The 14398-nt window shown below is 42.8% G+C and overlaps 1 protein-coding gene across 20 annotated transcripts in view, besides 1 other annotated feature; it reads left to right on the forward strand.

Annotated features, from left to right (window-relative positions):
* Positions 3153-3622: a silencer, noted in NCBI's record as "silent region_16995". NCBI's record gives its function as "represses an Ori minimal core promoter by ATAC-STARR-seq in GM12878 lymphoblastoid cells {active_cell/tissue: GM12878}" and the evidence as "EXISTENCE:reporter gene assay evidence [ECO:0000049][PMID:35858748]".
* Positions 3425-14398, forward strand: part of CARMIL1 (capping protein regulator and myosin 1 linker 1) — a 341157-nt gene continuing 330183 nt past the window's right edge. For all 20 annotated transcript variants that reach the window (XM_017011008.2, XM_017011009.2, XM_017011015.2 and 17 more), the window contains exons 1-2: positions 3425-3886; positions 8863-8960. In XM_017011008.2, the coding sequence (XP_016866497.1) occupies positions 3847-3886; positions 8863-8960 (138 nt within the window). In that variant the 5' untranslated portion in view covers positions 3425-3846. The remainder of the gene's footprint in view (positions 3887-8862; positions 8961-14398) is intronic.

Below are 14398 nucleotides of genomic sequence, written 5' to 3' on the forward strand. Positions count from 1 at the left end.
ATTGTTATGAAACATTGCAAACACATACAAAAGTGAAAGCAATGCCTTCCCATGGATCTGATATCCAGCTGCAACAAAAATCAACACAAGGTCACTCTGATTTCATCTATATCTCTACTCAATACTCTCCACCCCCCACCATCCCTATGGGCTATTTTCAAGCAAATCTCAGGTCTCATATAATTTCATTTGTAAATACTTTAAAGGAGTATTGTTTAATAGCCATTTACCTTCCACCGTCTTCTAGTCAGAGATAAACTAAGTTTTCTTAGAGGTGTTTGCAAGCTTAGTTCACATTGCCTACCCTCCTGAAAGATCTTTATTAACCAAGTTGAAAAATACACCTTCTTAAGAAGGCCCCTTCCCCAATGGTTACTGGGGGTGGAAGGTAATCTTAAAATCATTACTTGGGGAGTAAAATGCTGGTGGTTCCCACATTTCTGAATACCTTTCCATTTTAAAACCAGTTCTTAATGCAGTAGACGAGATCAGAAACTGACCTACGTAAGTTTGTGATTTTTTTTTTTGTTAGAGTGCTGATTTCTTCTTAACTTTTTTGTTTGCTTTATCTCCATGGGTTTAATCATTACATGATATGGTTCTAATGATAGCATGTTGTGTCATTTTAGGGACACTATTTTCTGCAAACTTTTTTACTCAGAGTGTTTTCTGACCATAATGCATTACAAAATGTACTATATAGATGTGAATATATGCTTAGAATTAAAAATAAAAATCCATGGATAAGTTTTCAAAATAATGTTGCCACTCACTGTATGTTTCAAAAGAGATGGGGTTTCACTATGTTGCTCAGTCTGGTCTGTCCCAAACTCCTGGGCTCAAGCAATCCACCCACTTCGGCATCCCAAAGCATTTGGAATTACAAATGTGAGCCACTGCACCTGGCCTTGCCATGCTTTTCAAATTACACTCTTCTCCATCTTCCTTTTCAAAATAATGTTGCCACTCACTATATGTTAAATGTTAAACATTTTACAGATTCAAATGCAGTAGGGATTCTCTGAAAAAGTTTTATCTTACTAACAGCTTTCAGATTATCAGTACTAGTTGTATGGCTTAAACACAGCCACATGTAAATACTTACTTAGATGAAGCTATGGCTAATCACATATGTAACACAATCAGTTTCATGTAGTGGTTTGATCACTCGTGTATTCAAGACTATATAAACAGGGATGAATTTGAGGAAGTTGGAGTGATGGAGTGAGAAAAGTTTGTTTTTGCAGCAGTAGCAGTAGAAGGGGCAGGCCGATTCAGTAAACAAGCACACATTTCAGAATGCAAACTGCATTCTCCAAGCTGGCACCATGGTTTTACGGTGCTAGGGATGTTTACTGCTTGTTGGGTTTGCAGCTTTATAAACAGTGCTCCTTGGAGTTCTCTGCTTGCTATTCTGAAACATATTTGAGTTTTGCAACCGAGAAGTAAATGACTTTGATTTCCAAAATCAGTCAGTCATTTTTCAGTGTTGTGATAGGAGATTCATTTGAATTCACTTCTTCAGAGATGCAGGAGCCAATCAGGATCCTGTTGCAGTGAAAATGATTCTTTTATTGAAACCCCAGCTTCCTTTAAAAGAAGCCAAAGAGTACTGAATTACAGAACTGCCATACAGCCTTCCCTTTATTCTTTCCATCACCCAGGCCACAGGAAAAAAAAAAAAAAGACAAACTTTTGTTCTTATTTTCACAAGTTATCACATGGTTTGGAAACTTCAGGGCATTTCTGAAACTTCATTGGTATGTGCCAGAAAAGTCCTCTTTAACACACCAGGTTGAATGAAAGACAGTTTGAGATGTTAATTTCCATTTACTGCAGAAAAAATATATTTAATGCATTAAGGAAATGTCTAGCTTAAAGAAATTGCCCACTTTTGAAACAAATGGTTGGAGGCCTGAGGTCCAAAGCTCTAAAATCAGTTAACAAATGTTTATTGAACACCTATTTTGAACTAGGCTGTTGAAGAAGTTCAAAAGTCTAAGATAAATTCCCACTTTCAACTCACCTACAGTCTAGTTGGGCAGAAAAAATCCAAACTCAGGGGACAATGCAAGAGTTAGATAGTAAAACCAGACAAATACACAAGCAATGAAACACGACACCATATGGTTGGGTTTAGAAAAGTGTTTCAGGCAATACATATTGTAGAGGCTTAGGGATCACAGTAATCTGAAAATCCCTGGAAAATATTCACAAAGAAGGTAGACCATTGGGATGGGTTTGAAAACATAGATAAGAATCAGATAACCTTAAGAGGAAGGAGGAAGCAAACAGTGAGTCTGGTTGTAATAGAGAAGGGAGTGGGAGAGGTTAAGGAGGGTGGGAAGGGGCCAGGTTGGCAAATCCTTAGTGGTAAGGCCTGGCTGTGGGGCTGAAGATGATTCTAAGGGGTCCAAGGTCAACAGCAGTGTTTAAAATTAGATTGCCAAGTGCATGGATTCCCTTTCCTTTCCTCCTTTTCTGTCCTTTAAAAGCAGAACCTGATTAGACAGTCTGGGACATTCCCAGCCCTAGGCTAAAAAGCAGCGATTGAGGCACAAAGTATTCTTGGCCCTGAAGTTGAACCTCTGGGGATGGAGCTCAGGGAAGTCATAGGGAGTTTGGGCCCAGGTAGGATCAGACCTATCCGCAGGCTTACATAGGCTCCAGTGATTAAAGCTCAGCTTCCTGAATATGCCCCGAGGATAAAAGAGACTTTTCCGAGTGAAAGGCATTTTCCAAGGCGCTCTCAACGGGAATGTCTGAGATAGCGAACTGCGGCTGCAGAGCACCAGCTGAACGCACACACACAAGTGTCTTCTCACGGTATGATTAGTGTTCACAGGTTTCGTCTAGCTCATCAGAAATGAAGAATAGCGATGATGAAGTGACATGTCACCGGGAGGGTTGAAAAAGAAAAAGTGCGTAAGAGGGTCCCAAAAAGAACCAGCTTCCGTGTAGACGGGTCTGCAGAATCTGCCGTCTCCCGTCTTCTGGGTCCCCTGGCCCGCCCGGAGTGGGGACAAGGAAATGGAAAGCCCGGCTCACCCGGCTCTCCTCCCTCGCAGCCAGCAGATGGCTCCCGGGCTCTCTCGCGAGCCCGCTCGCCCCCTCTCCAGACGCAGGGCTTTTGCGGTTTGGGAGGGAGGCTGCGAGGAGGGGCGCGGTGCCCGCCGCCGCCACCGCAGCACCGCACAGCGTCTCTCCTGGGGGTGCGACCTACGCCGGGGACCCAGCGCTCGGGCACCGGAGGCCGGCCTCGCACCGGTGCGGAGGCCGGCTCTCGCGAGGTGAGGAGGAAACGCAGGAGGAAGAGGAGAAGGAGAAGGAGGAGAAGGAGGAGGGCCGGAGCTGCCCCCGCCCAGCCGGAGCCCGGCAGGAGCGCGAGGAAAACCTACTCCCCCCGCCCCGCGCCGCTCTCCCCGCCCTCTCCCACGCCTTCCGCTTTCACCTAGGGCTGTAGGTGCGGCGCGGAGGCTGGGCGGGAGCTACGCCGGCCCAAGCCCCGCCGGGGACCAGCGAGCCGGGAGGAGGAGCAGGCGCCACAGCCGCCCCGCGCCCCGCGCCCGCTTGTAATCCGGTCCGCTCCTTATTCAGCCGCCGGGAACTGCGAGGAGGCGTCATGTAGCAGCAGCAGCAAATCCGCCTCGCATTTGCAACTCTTTTTTTTTTTTTTGGTGGGGCGGGGGGCGCGCGGCAAAATTCTGTCTCCGCCCCCCCTTTTCTTGCCCACTTCCATTTGCAAGCTGCATCTGCCTCTCTAAAAAAATTGAGGAGTTCGGGGAAGGGCAGGGGGCCATAAATCAGAGTTGGACCTGCAATAACCCCCACACCTACAGGGCAACCATGACCGAGGAGAGCTCTGACGTTCCCAGGGAGTTGATAGGTAAGATTCACGCGGTTGTTGGTTTTCCACCTTCCTCTGCGTACTCCTCACCTCTCTCTCCCTTCCCACCTCTGCTTTCCCGCAGGTCTCGAGAAGTCTTGGCGCCCCTTAGGGCAGAGTGGTGTTGGGCAGGGTCACTGGGGGTGCCGGGAAGTTTGTTCCCATCCGACCGCCTGTAGAGCCAAGTGCAGAGAGGGAAGGCTTCGGGGAGGAATCGGGAGTCCTCGGGAGGTGGGTGGGAGGAGGGTCTCGACTGTGAGCCCTGGGCACCTCCTCTTGCCCGGAAGCGGGGATCCAGGTTGGCGAAAGAAGGGGGCGGGCCATCTTAGACTTGGGAGTTCTGCAAGCGAGGGGAGCCCTTTACAGCTCCCAGCCCACTGCCCCAAACTCGGGAAAGTCCGGGAAAGCCTATTGGAAGGACAGGTGGCGAGCGCACAGTAGGTCGTCTCCGGCACGTGTCAGGCGCTTTCCTGAAAATGCCCCGCGGGAGGTGATCTTCTGACACGCAGACTTGGGGGAGTGGGCGCTAGTCTGGTAAAATGACTGGGCTTGGCAAGGTGTGGCTTGGTGTAGCCAGCTGGGAGCGAAAGGGTTACAGGGCTGACGCAGACTCAGGCCAGGAAATAGAGGGTTAATGATAAAAGCCTTATTTTAATAATGATTAACCTACCGATTCTCCCTATAGGGGATCTCTTAGGGAACCCGTGTGTGTTACGCTGTGCAAGGTGACCCATTGTTTGAGTACCTTGAGGTTTTTTTTTTTTTGGTGGTGGTGGGGGCGGGGCTGGTTAAGTCTTGGGGTTTAACTTAATTATCTGGAGGGTTAAAATGGCAGAGCTGAAATAGGATGGGAGAGTGTTCTGAAAACCTAGCGTTTAAGCATGTATATGTGTGTAGCATGTTATACTGTAACAAGGTATGTGCGTCTGTGTACAGATGTGTTTTGAGCCCTAGTGACCTATATTCCCTCCTGTACCATTCTTGGCACACTACACAGCCTACAGCTCACAAAGATGATGTTTAATCGGCGCTGACAACAAGAGGAAGTTCTGAGCACCCGTTGATCTCCATGTGTGGAATTTGCCCCTCTGTTGTTTCTTTTAGCTAATAATACTTTGGAGGAATTTGTGTATGCCCTTCCGTTGGTGACTGTTAACTCAGCAGGTAAAACTTGATGTAGAGAGGCTGTTGCTAGGTTTGTATGGAAGCCCCTACTTCTGCTGAATTACAGACAAACCTGATCTTTTACCAGAATTTACAGTATGAAATTATTCACAGACGCACGCGCGTGTGCGCGCGCGCACACACACACACACACACACACACACACACACGCACCTCTCATCATGATCCCAGCAGATCCTCTTCTCTCTCCCCAACCCTGTGGAGTCTGCATCTTTTGCTGGAGTGAGTGACACATCCGGTTCTGGGAGGCTGCGACCTTTCCAACACCCCAAGCAAACGCCAGAGGCTCTGAAGACGCCTCCAGAGGTCCTGAGAATGAGTGTAGGGCAGGGCTTGCCTGGCTGGTCAGGGGATAAGGATGGCTAAAGTGGGTGGCAGATTTTTACTTTATATAAGGAGTTGTCCTTAAGTCTGGAAATGGAAAGTGTAGGTAATTACTTAGGCCCAAGAGAAAGAGTGAAGGGTAGAGTGGAAATAAGGTGTCTGGGTTTCTATTCATGGTTCTCAAAAGGAATAGTTTGTATATTTTAAAAGTTGAGTTTGACCTTTATCTTGAAATGGAATTTTTGTTTTTATTAAGTATTGCCTATCTCTTTCAAGAGAGTGACATATTATGCCCGATATGATTTTTCTGGGCCTTTCAGTGGTCAAGTTAGGCTGGGATAGAATAAATACCTGCACCTGCTTTCCTCTAAATTCAAGTGCTCACAAGAGTTCTGCTCTGATCAATTCAAAATGGCGACCGACCACATGAAAACCTCTATATATTCCCTTAAGATTCCCTCAAGATATTTAAAAAGTGTTACAGACTTGGCTGAGCGTGGTGGCTCACCCCTGTAATCCTAGCACTTTGGGAGGCCGAGGCAGGTGGATCACCTGAGGTCGGGAGTTGGAGACCAGCCTGACCAACATGAAGAAACCCGGTCTCTACTAAAAATACAAAAATTAGCTGGGCGTGGGGGCACGTGGCTGTAATCCCAGCTACTCGGGAGGCTGAGGCAGGAGAATCACTTGAACCCGGGAGGCGGAGGTTGCCGTAAGCCGAGATCAAGCCATTTCATTCCAGCCTGGGCAATAAGAGTGAAACTCCATCTCAAAAAAAAAAAAAAAAAAAAAAAGTGTTATAGACTTTATGTAGAAACAATTTAAATGTAGAGAAGAATAAGAAGACTATATGTCACTCCTGTTACCACTTAGAGGTAGTTATTTTAAAGGGTATATGATTTTCCAGTCTGTTTCCATGTGTATATGTTCTTAAGTCAATTTCAGATGCCCATTTCCCGCAATTCTTTTTTAGGGGAGGGAGGAGTGGCCTGTGCTTGTTTCTCGAGTTCTGATAAGATAGGAGCTTTGTGAAGAACTCATAGTGCAGTGAGCTCTTCTACATGTTCCCTTGCCCCAAACATTCCACCTCCTTGCTGTTCCTTGAACAGGCTGTGCTTTCTCAGATTTCCATGCTGTTCTTTATGCGTACACTGTCTTTTTCTCCCCGTTTTCACTCTTTATCTCAGCAGCTCTAAACTTTCATGGCGGTATTTCCAAGAAGAAAATTTTGATTACCCCTTATTAAACATATATTTGTTAAACTACATGCTCCATTTAGTGTGTATAATCTAAAACACAAACTGAAACACACATTGTAAGTAGAAATGAAAATTCTATTTTCTTCTTTCATCTCAATGGATTATATTGTACACTCTACTTTGGAAACCAGTGATCTTATTTCCTATGCCTTCAAGATTCAGCTCAGGGATCCTCTCCTCCCTGAAACCTTTGCGTGCTTCCGAATCCATGATCTTATGCATTGTGTGTGAATTTCTTTTATGACATCTCTCAGTGACCTCCACTAGATTGCAAACTCCTGTGAAATGCAAAGACCATCTCTATCTAGCACCTAGTAGAGTACCTGACATACAAGAGGTACTCCTATGTACATTTATTTGTTGAACATGTGAATAGACCAAAATGATTATAATACAGAATACAGAGGTATGGGAGCATAGAGGAGGGGACTGTATTTTGGAGGATAAGTAGAATATAACCAGGAGGACAATAGGGAAAGGGCATCCCAGGAAAGAGAATAATAGATACACAATCCTAGGGGTGTAAAAGATGAAGATATTAGGAATAATTGGATGTTTAGGTATGTGCTGAGAAGTCACACTGAAAATAAATGTGAAAGACCTTGAATGGCATGCCATGAGTTTTGGGTTTATTCAAAAATGACTGCAACTCGTAGACTGGGAGGGACGTGATGAATCTCACAGTTTTGGAAGAGTCACTGTGGTTATGGAGGTGACAGTGGGCTGATGGGTTAGAGGCCATGGACTTAGTCTTGGTGAGAGATTCTGAGGCCCTTACTGCAGTCATGCCTAGGTAGTCAGGAGCCGTGGAGGAGGTAGATTTTAGGAGACTGACTTTCTGTCTGAGAGAAAGGAGTTGGACATAAGCATTTTCCAGCAACATTAGTGTCCAGAGTAGGAGATAATGAGTTTGATTTCAGACGTATTCATTTTGAGGTACTCATGGGAGCCCTAGGAAGACTTTTCCACCACCATCTGAAATGTGAAGTCTCCAGATTTCTCCTTCTATTGCCTTTGACCACTTCTTGGGGGTATTGTGCTGTCATGATTTTGGAAGGACAGATGGCTGGGAGTGCCTTTGTTTGAGTAAATCATCTGGTATAGTTCTGGCTTATTTTTATTTTTTTGAGACAGAGTCTCACTGTGTCACTCAGGCTGGAATGCAGTGGCACGATCTCAGCTCCACTGCAACCTCCACCTCTCGGTTTCAAGCAATTCTCGTGCTTCAGCCCCTGGACTAACTGAGATTACAGGCACGCACCACCACACCTGGCTAATTTTTTTTTGTATTTTTAGTAGAGGCAGGGTTTATCCATGTTGGCCAGGCTGGTCTTGAACTCCTGGCCTCAAGCGATCCACCTTCCTCAGCCTCCCAAAGTGCTGGGATTACAGACGTGAGCCAACGTGCCCAGCCCGGTTCTGTTCTGTTTTGTTTTGCCGTATTCCCCAAACATCATGTCAAGACTTACTCATAGAGAATGCTAATATTTGTATGACACTATGGTGAACCCAGAGGCTGCTGGGCACCAGAGGTAACCAGCCAGGGGCAGAGGGAATTTATGAATTCCTGTTGTGTTCTGCATGCAACGTAGTGTTTCATCATACTGCCCAACTTCACTGTTTGCTGTTCTTTGTTTTTTCTTTTATATGTATCTTATTTTCCAAACAAGATTATGTCATGCCTTGCATGGGCTGGTATTATGTCGTGCTTTTGTGTTTGCCTCAGCATATCAATATACAGTACGAGGTACAAAGTAGGTGTTTATTAAATACTTGATGGGTGATAACCATCCAACTTGTTAAAACAAGTAAAAAAAGACAAACGGTCGGGCACGGTGGCTCATGCCTGTAATCCCGGCACTTTGGGAGGCCAAGGCAGGCGGATCACTTGAGGTCAGGAGTTCAAGACCAGCCTGACCAACATGGTAAAACCCCATCTCTACTAAATACAAAAAATTAGCCGGACCTGGTGGTGTGCGCCTGTAGTCTCAGCTGTTCGGGAAGCTGAGGCAGGAGAATCACTTGAACCCAGGAGGCGGAGGTTGCAGTGAGCCAAGATCTCACCACTGCACTCCAGCCTGGGTGACAGAGTAAGACTCTGTCTCAAAAGACAACAACAGTAAAAACAACCAAATATACTCCTCCAAATGCTTACTCCTCCTCAGTGCTTTTTTTCTTATTAATAACATAATTCCTTTTTTTTTTCAGAAAGCATAAAGGATGTTATTGGCAGAAAGATAAAAATTTCAGTGAAGAAGAAAGTAAAGTTGGAAGTTAAGGGAGACAAAGTTGAAAACAAAGTGCTGGTAAGTATTGCTGTTTATTTTTATTAAATGTTTGGAAATGAAAGTGTGTTTTCATTGTTTAGATTGCTTAATTTTCATGCAGCATTACTTCTGTGTTTTATATATTGTTCAAAAGTTCTGATGACCATTTTGTCTTAGGTTAATTGGAATATTTCTTTGTCAAAAGTTAAAAATAGGGTAATTTGAATTTTAAAGATCAAAGGCTTTTAGATTGTATTTCTCAAAGTTGTAATTGCTGCCTATATTTAGGTAATCTCTTAGAGCCTGTTTTCATAATATTCAGAGTTTGATGTTAAATGGAACTTTTTTATTTGGTGTGTGGTGGGTGATCCTATGACTTTATTCATAAAGTCTTATGGAGGAGTTTAAAAAGTTCATCTCATGTTGGTTTAATTACTTAATTAGATTTTCTCAGATGTTATATATGAGTCCATCTAAGGGGTGATGAGCTAACAAAACATTGTCATTTTACTTAGGGTGTTGGTGCTTTGGAGGGAAACTCCTGCTGAAGGCAGTATCTGCTAGTGTTGCGACTGGACTTGGGGTTCCTTCTAGTTTGTGAGAGGAGATGCTGAGGGATTGGGCCCTGCTGCAGAAAACTTCTTAGAGAGGTGTCAGTGACAGAGTTGTACCTTTAGAGAGGTGAAAACATTTTGTGATATTTTAATGGTTTCTAGGTTGAGATTGTGGCAAATCTAAATTTAAGCTTAGGTGGAAAGAATATTTTGATGGAGAGAATACTGTTTAACTTTTTATCATGGATATTTTCAAACATATGCAAAAAGCAGATAATAGTATATCGAACTCTGTGTACCTGTCCTTCCCAGCTTCAACCATTTTCAGCATTGTACTAATATTAAATATCTTCCCCATGGTGTTTGTTTGTTGTTGCTGTTTTTTTTTTCCTCTGGAGAATTTTAAAACAAATCCCAGGTATGTTATTGAAAGAGTATAATTTCTTAATTTTTTAAAGTCTTTTTGAGACAGGATTTCAGTCTGTTGCCCAGGCTGGAGTGCAATGGTGTGATCTTGGCTCATTGTAGCCTCAACCTCCCAGGCTCAAGCGATCCTCCCACCTCAGCCTCCTGAGTAGCTGGGACTACAGGTGTGAGCCATCATGCCCAGCTAATTTTGTTTATTTTTTGTAGAGACAGGGTCTCCCTGTATTCCCGAGGCTGGTCTCAAACTCCTGGACTCAAGCGATCTGCCTGCCTCGGCCTCCCGAAGTGCTGGGATTACAGGCATGAGCCACTGTGCGTGGCCTGAAAAAGAATATTTTTAATATTCCATTGCTTCAGTTAAAGTTGCCAAAGAATTTGAAGTGTCTTTCTGATCACATCTGTCTTGAGAATCTTCTAAAATATCTAACTCCAGGATATGTGATTGTCTTTTCTTGTTAGTAAGGATTATGCTTGTGATGGATGACTTCTGTTTCTATGTTGTCTATATATACAAGTCGGGATGGTAAAGGCATTGAATGGGAAAACTTGAATGGCTTTTGCCCAGCAACAAAATGTGCTTATGTAAACTGCATGATTAAGTTATCAGTAGAAGAAATGATTGGTGCCATTGTTCTGTTGTATTTAACTTCAGTAAAGGTGAGATTTCCTTAAGTTATGTTTTTCTTGATGTTGTTCAACAATGATTGTGCTATTTTTTGGAAGTGGTAGTGTAGAGAAGAAATATTGTTTCTGTCATTTGCTTTTTTACAAATTTAAAGTAAGTTTTTAATAATGTAGTAACTTTATAAGATGAATCAACTTCTCTACAACTTAAATATAAGGTAGTGGTTGCTATGACAGTCTAAAAAATTGGGGCTTGGTATTATTTGATATGGAAATTATTATTATGCTAAGAACAAACCCACATCATGAGTGCAATTTACCATGTTAAAATTTCAAAGACAAATTTAAATGTCCAGTATAAAATTAGCACTATTTAAACATGCTTATGATTAGTACTTAATTGTAAGTTTTTTTGGCCTCATCTAACAGCTGGAATTGATTAAAGTTGTAACCAAATTAAAAATGTATTTGAGTTTAAGCATTTATCTCCCCAAATATGGAATCTAAGCAGTTTCTAGAAGCATGGCCGGAACTCATTGTGGCTGTTACTTACTTGCATGGGCAGGAATTATTAATAGAAATACTCAAGGTCTGGCTTTCTTTGACAGGCTTCAAGTTAGAACAAGAAGATGTATGAAGTAACCTCAAAGTTGTGGATTTCTGAGTTTCTGAGTTTAGAGAAATTTAATTGCTTAATCCATTGTTAGCCTACTAAAATGGTTCATAAATGAGTTGGCTGAATATCTACAGTACGCTTTTTGAGTTGTGCTTTTGTTACTTCCCCCATTGCCCACCATTCACTCCTTTTCTTCTTATAAAAGTAGGAGTGTGCTGTATTTTACGTGGTTCTTTCTTCTTACACTTGAGACTTTATACTATTTCTAGCTTATCTTTTGTAGAGGGCTTATCTTCATCTTCCTATAATCATAATAGCTAATATTTCTAAAAATCTGTTTTTGAAGTCTAGTCAAGTGAAGCAATGGGATTGGAGGAAGAGCAAAGAAATCTATAATGAGTTGTGATCAATTAGTTGTAAACACCCCTACACTCAGACCAGCCATGATCATAATAGCTAATATTTATTAAACACTGGCCAAGTGCCAGAGACTGTGCTGAGTACTTAATTACGCATTGCCTTGTTATATCCCCACTACAACGCTATGAGGTAGGCACTTTTTACATCTCCATTTTACAGATGAGGAAATTGAGATTTGGCGAGGCCAAAGTAAATTGCTTCACATCATTTGGCTAGTTAATAACAGCTGGGATTCGAACCCAGCTCTGCCTCACTCAGAGCCTATCTGCTTTGCCTTTGTGGTCAAAAAGAAGGCAGCTGTTACTTTGTTCCATGGTTGCTGACTTCAAACAATGATAGGGGAGATTTGGACTTTAGAGTCTCTCTGTCTTTGATTGATTGATTTATACACTAGTTTTATATTTATTGAGAACCTGCTGTGTCCCAGGCACATGGTGTATACAAAATAGTCCTAGTCTTTGACTTCATGGGACTCGAAGCTTACAGTCTAGTTGGGGAGGTAAACATGTAGCCAGGCAGTGGTTTCAGATGTGCTATGAGTGGATGAATCGGGGCTTCAGGAGCACGGAGAGGAACTCCCAACTCAGGCCTGAGAATCAGGGAAGACTTCAGAAGGAAGATAAGCTTAAGCTGGCGTTCACTGGATGAGTAGGAGTTAGCCAAGCGAAGAGAGTGGAGACATGTTCTGGACAAAGGGAACAGAATACGTCTGGAAGCCTGAGAGAGCTTATGTTAGAGAAACATACTAAGGTACAGCTGGGGTAAGGCATATACAGGGTAGAGAATGGGCAGGTGTAAAGCCTGAGTCCTGTCCTTGCAGTTGGGATGTCAGGTGAAAGTTAGGACTGGTTAAACAGGTCTCTTCTTGCCACCTGTGTATAATGAAATATTAAGGCTCAGTGGTTAAGGGCCCAGATTTTGGGTTCACACTGTTGCTCAGTAACTTTGTGACAATGTTAAGAATCAGGTTTTTTTTTTTTTTTTTTCCGTATGGAAAAAATCTTATGTTATAACAGTATCTATTGGTATGTGGTTGCTTTGCATATCAAGTGGAATTTATTTAAATACTGCATAGCACAGTGGCTGCATGCAGCAAACACCCAAAAAATGATAAGGCAAGAGGAACAAAGGGGTCCTGCATTCTGTTTTCTCCGTGGTGCGGAAAGTGCCATTCCTTCTGAAGCCCAAGTATCTGCTGCCTCCATTGACAGGTTGAGGTCAGTTCACCATAAGGCCAAGAGGGTTTATTCACAGTTTGTGGCACCTTATTAGCAGGATAGAGGGCAACAAGCTGGATCTAAAATTCCTAAGGTATGCTCTCCTCAAGTGAAATCAGAAATGCTAGATGTTCTGGGGCAGGAGTGTTCTATTCTCAAATAAATTTGGCAGAGTGTTAAAGATAAATCAGTTTCTTTACTGCATGAGTTTTCAGAGCCATTAATACAGCCCTGTGCATTGTAAATTTCTAAGAATTGGATAAAGTATGCTGTTTTTTCCAAACTTATTTAGCCAGAGACCCTAATGACCATGGGCTAAGAAGGAACAGGCCAGAGATGATGCCTCTTGGGACAGTTAAGAAAAGATAGAACAGGCTTGAATAGGCTCTCCATCATTAGGAGTGTTCTCCTGAGGAATGGTCCTTTAGCCATGTTTTTTAAAATCTACATTGTGAGTAGTTCCACTCTGGGCTACGTTGGCTTGACATGTCATATGTTGTTGAAATACCTTTCTCTGTTGTCTTTAGGGGATGTCATTAGAAAGTGATTCTATGTTTATTTGACTCTAATTCCCTTCTCCCATTTGCTAAATGAATCTTCACCCAATTTTTATAGTACTTGGAGTGTAAAAAATGTATTTTAACTTATGTATTTTTTAAAATTAAACTTTTTCATTTTTAAATAATTGTAGATTTGTCTGCAGTTATATCAGATAATTCAGAGAGGTTATCTTATGCCCTTTATTTAGTTTTCCCTTTTTGCAAAATTACAGTATAATGTCACAACCAGGATACTGACATTGATTGACACTGTAAAATGCAGATTTCCATCACCACAAGGACCCCTAACATTGCCTTTTTATAGCCATACCTAGCATTCCCCACTTCTCTGATCCCTGGTAGCCACTAATCTGTTCTCCATTTCTATAAATTTGTCATTTTAAGAACATTATATAAATGTACTCATACAGTATCCCCTTTTTGGGATTGGTTGTTCTTGCTCAGCATAATTCCCTGGACCTTCATCCAAGTTGTATCAATTTAGCTAAGGAGTACTTCATGGTATGGATGTACCACGTTTGGTTTAGCCATTGGCTAGTTGATGGACATCTGAGTTGTTTTCAGTTTTTGTCTATTAGGAATAAAACTGGTGTAAACATTTGTGTACAGATTTTTGAGTGAACATACTTTTCCTTGCTCTGTGATAAATGCCAAGGAGTGCAATTGCTGGTTTGCATGGGAATTGCGTGTTTACTTTTATAAGAAACTGGCAAACTGTTTCCCAGAGTGGCTGTACCATTATATGGTTTTACCAGCAATGTATGAGTGGTCTAGTTTCTCTAAATCCTTGGCAGCATTTGTCATTGTCTGGACTTCTTTTTTTTCTGAGACAGGGTCTCACTTTATCACCCAAGCTGGAGCACAGTGACATGAACACAGCTCCCTGCAGCCTCAATCTCCCAGGCTTAAGTGATCCTCCCACCTCAGCCTCCCAAGTAGCTGGGACTACAGGCGTGTGCCACCACACCCGGCTAATTTTTGTACTTTTTGTAGAGATGGGTTTCACCACGTTGTCCAGCTGCTTCTTGAACTCCTGGGTTCAAGCAAGCTTTCTGCCTTG

This window comes from Homo sapiens, chromosome 6 (assembly GCF_000001405.40).
Source record: "Homo sapiens chromosome 6, GRCh38.p14 Primary Assembly".
In the NCBI taxonomy this organism is placed as follows: domain Eukaryota; kingdom Metazoa; phylum Chordata; class Mammalia; order Primates; family Hominidae; genus Homo; species Homo sapiens.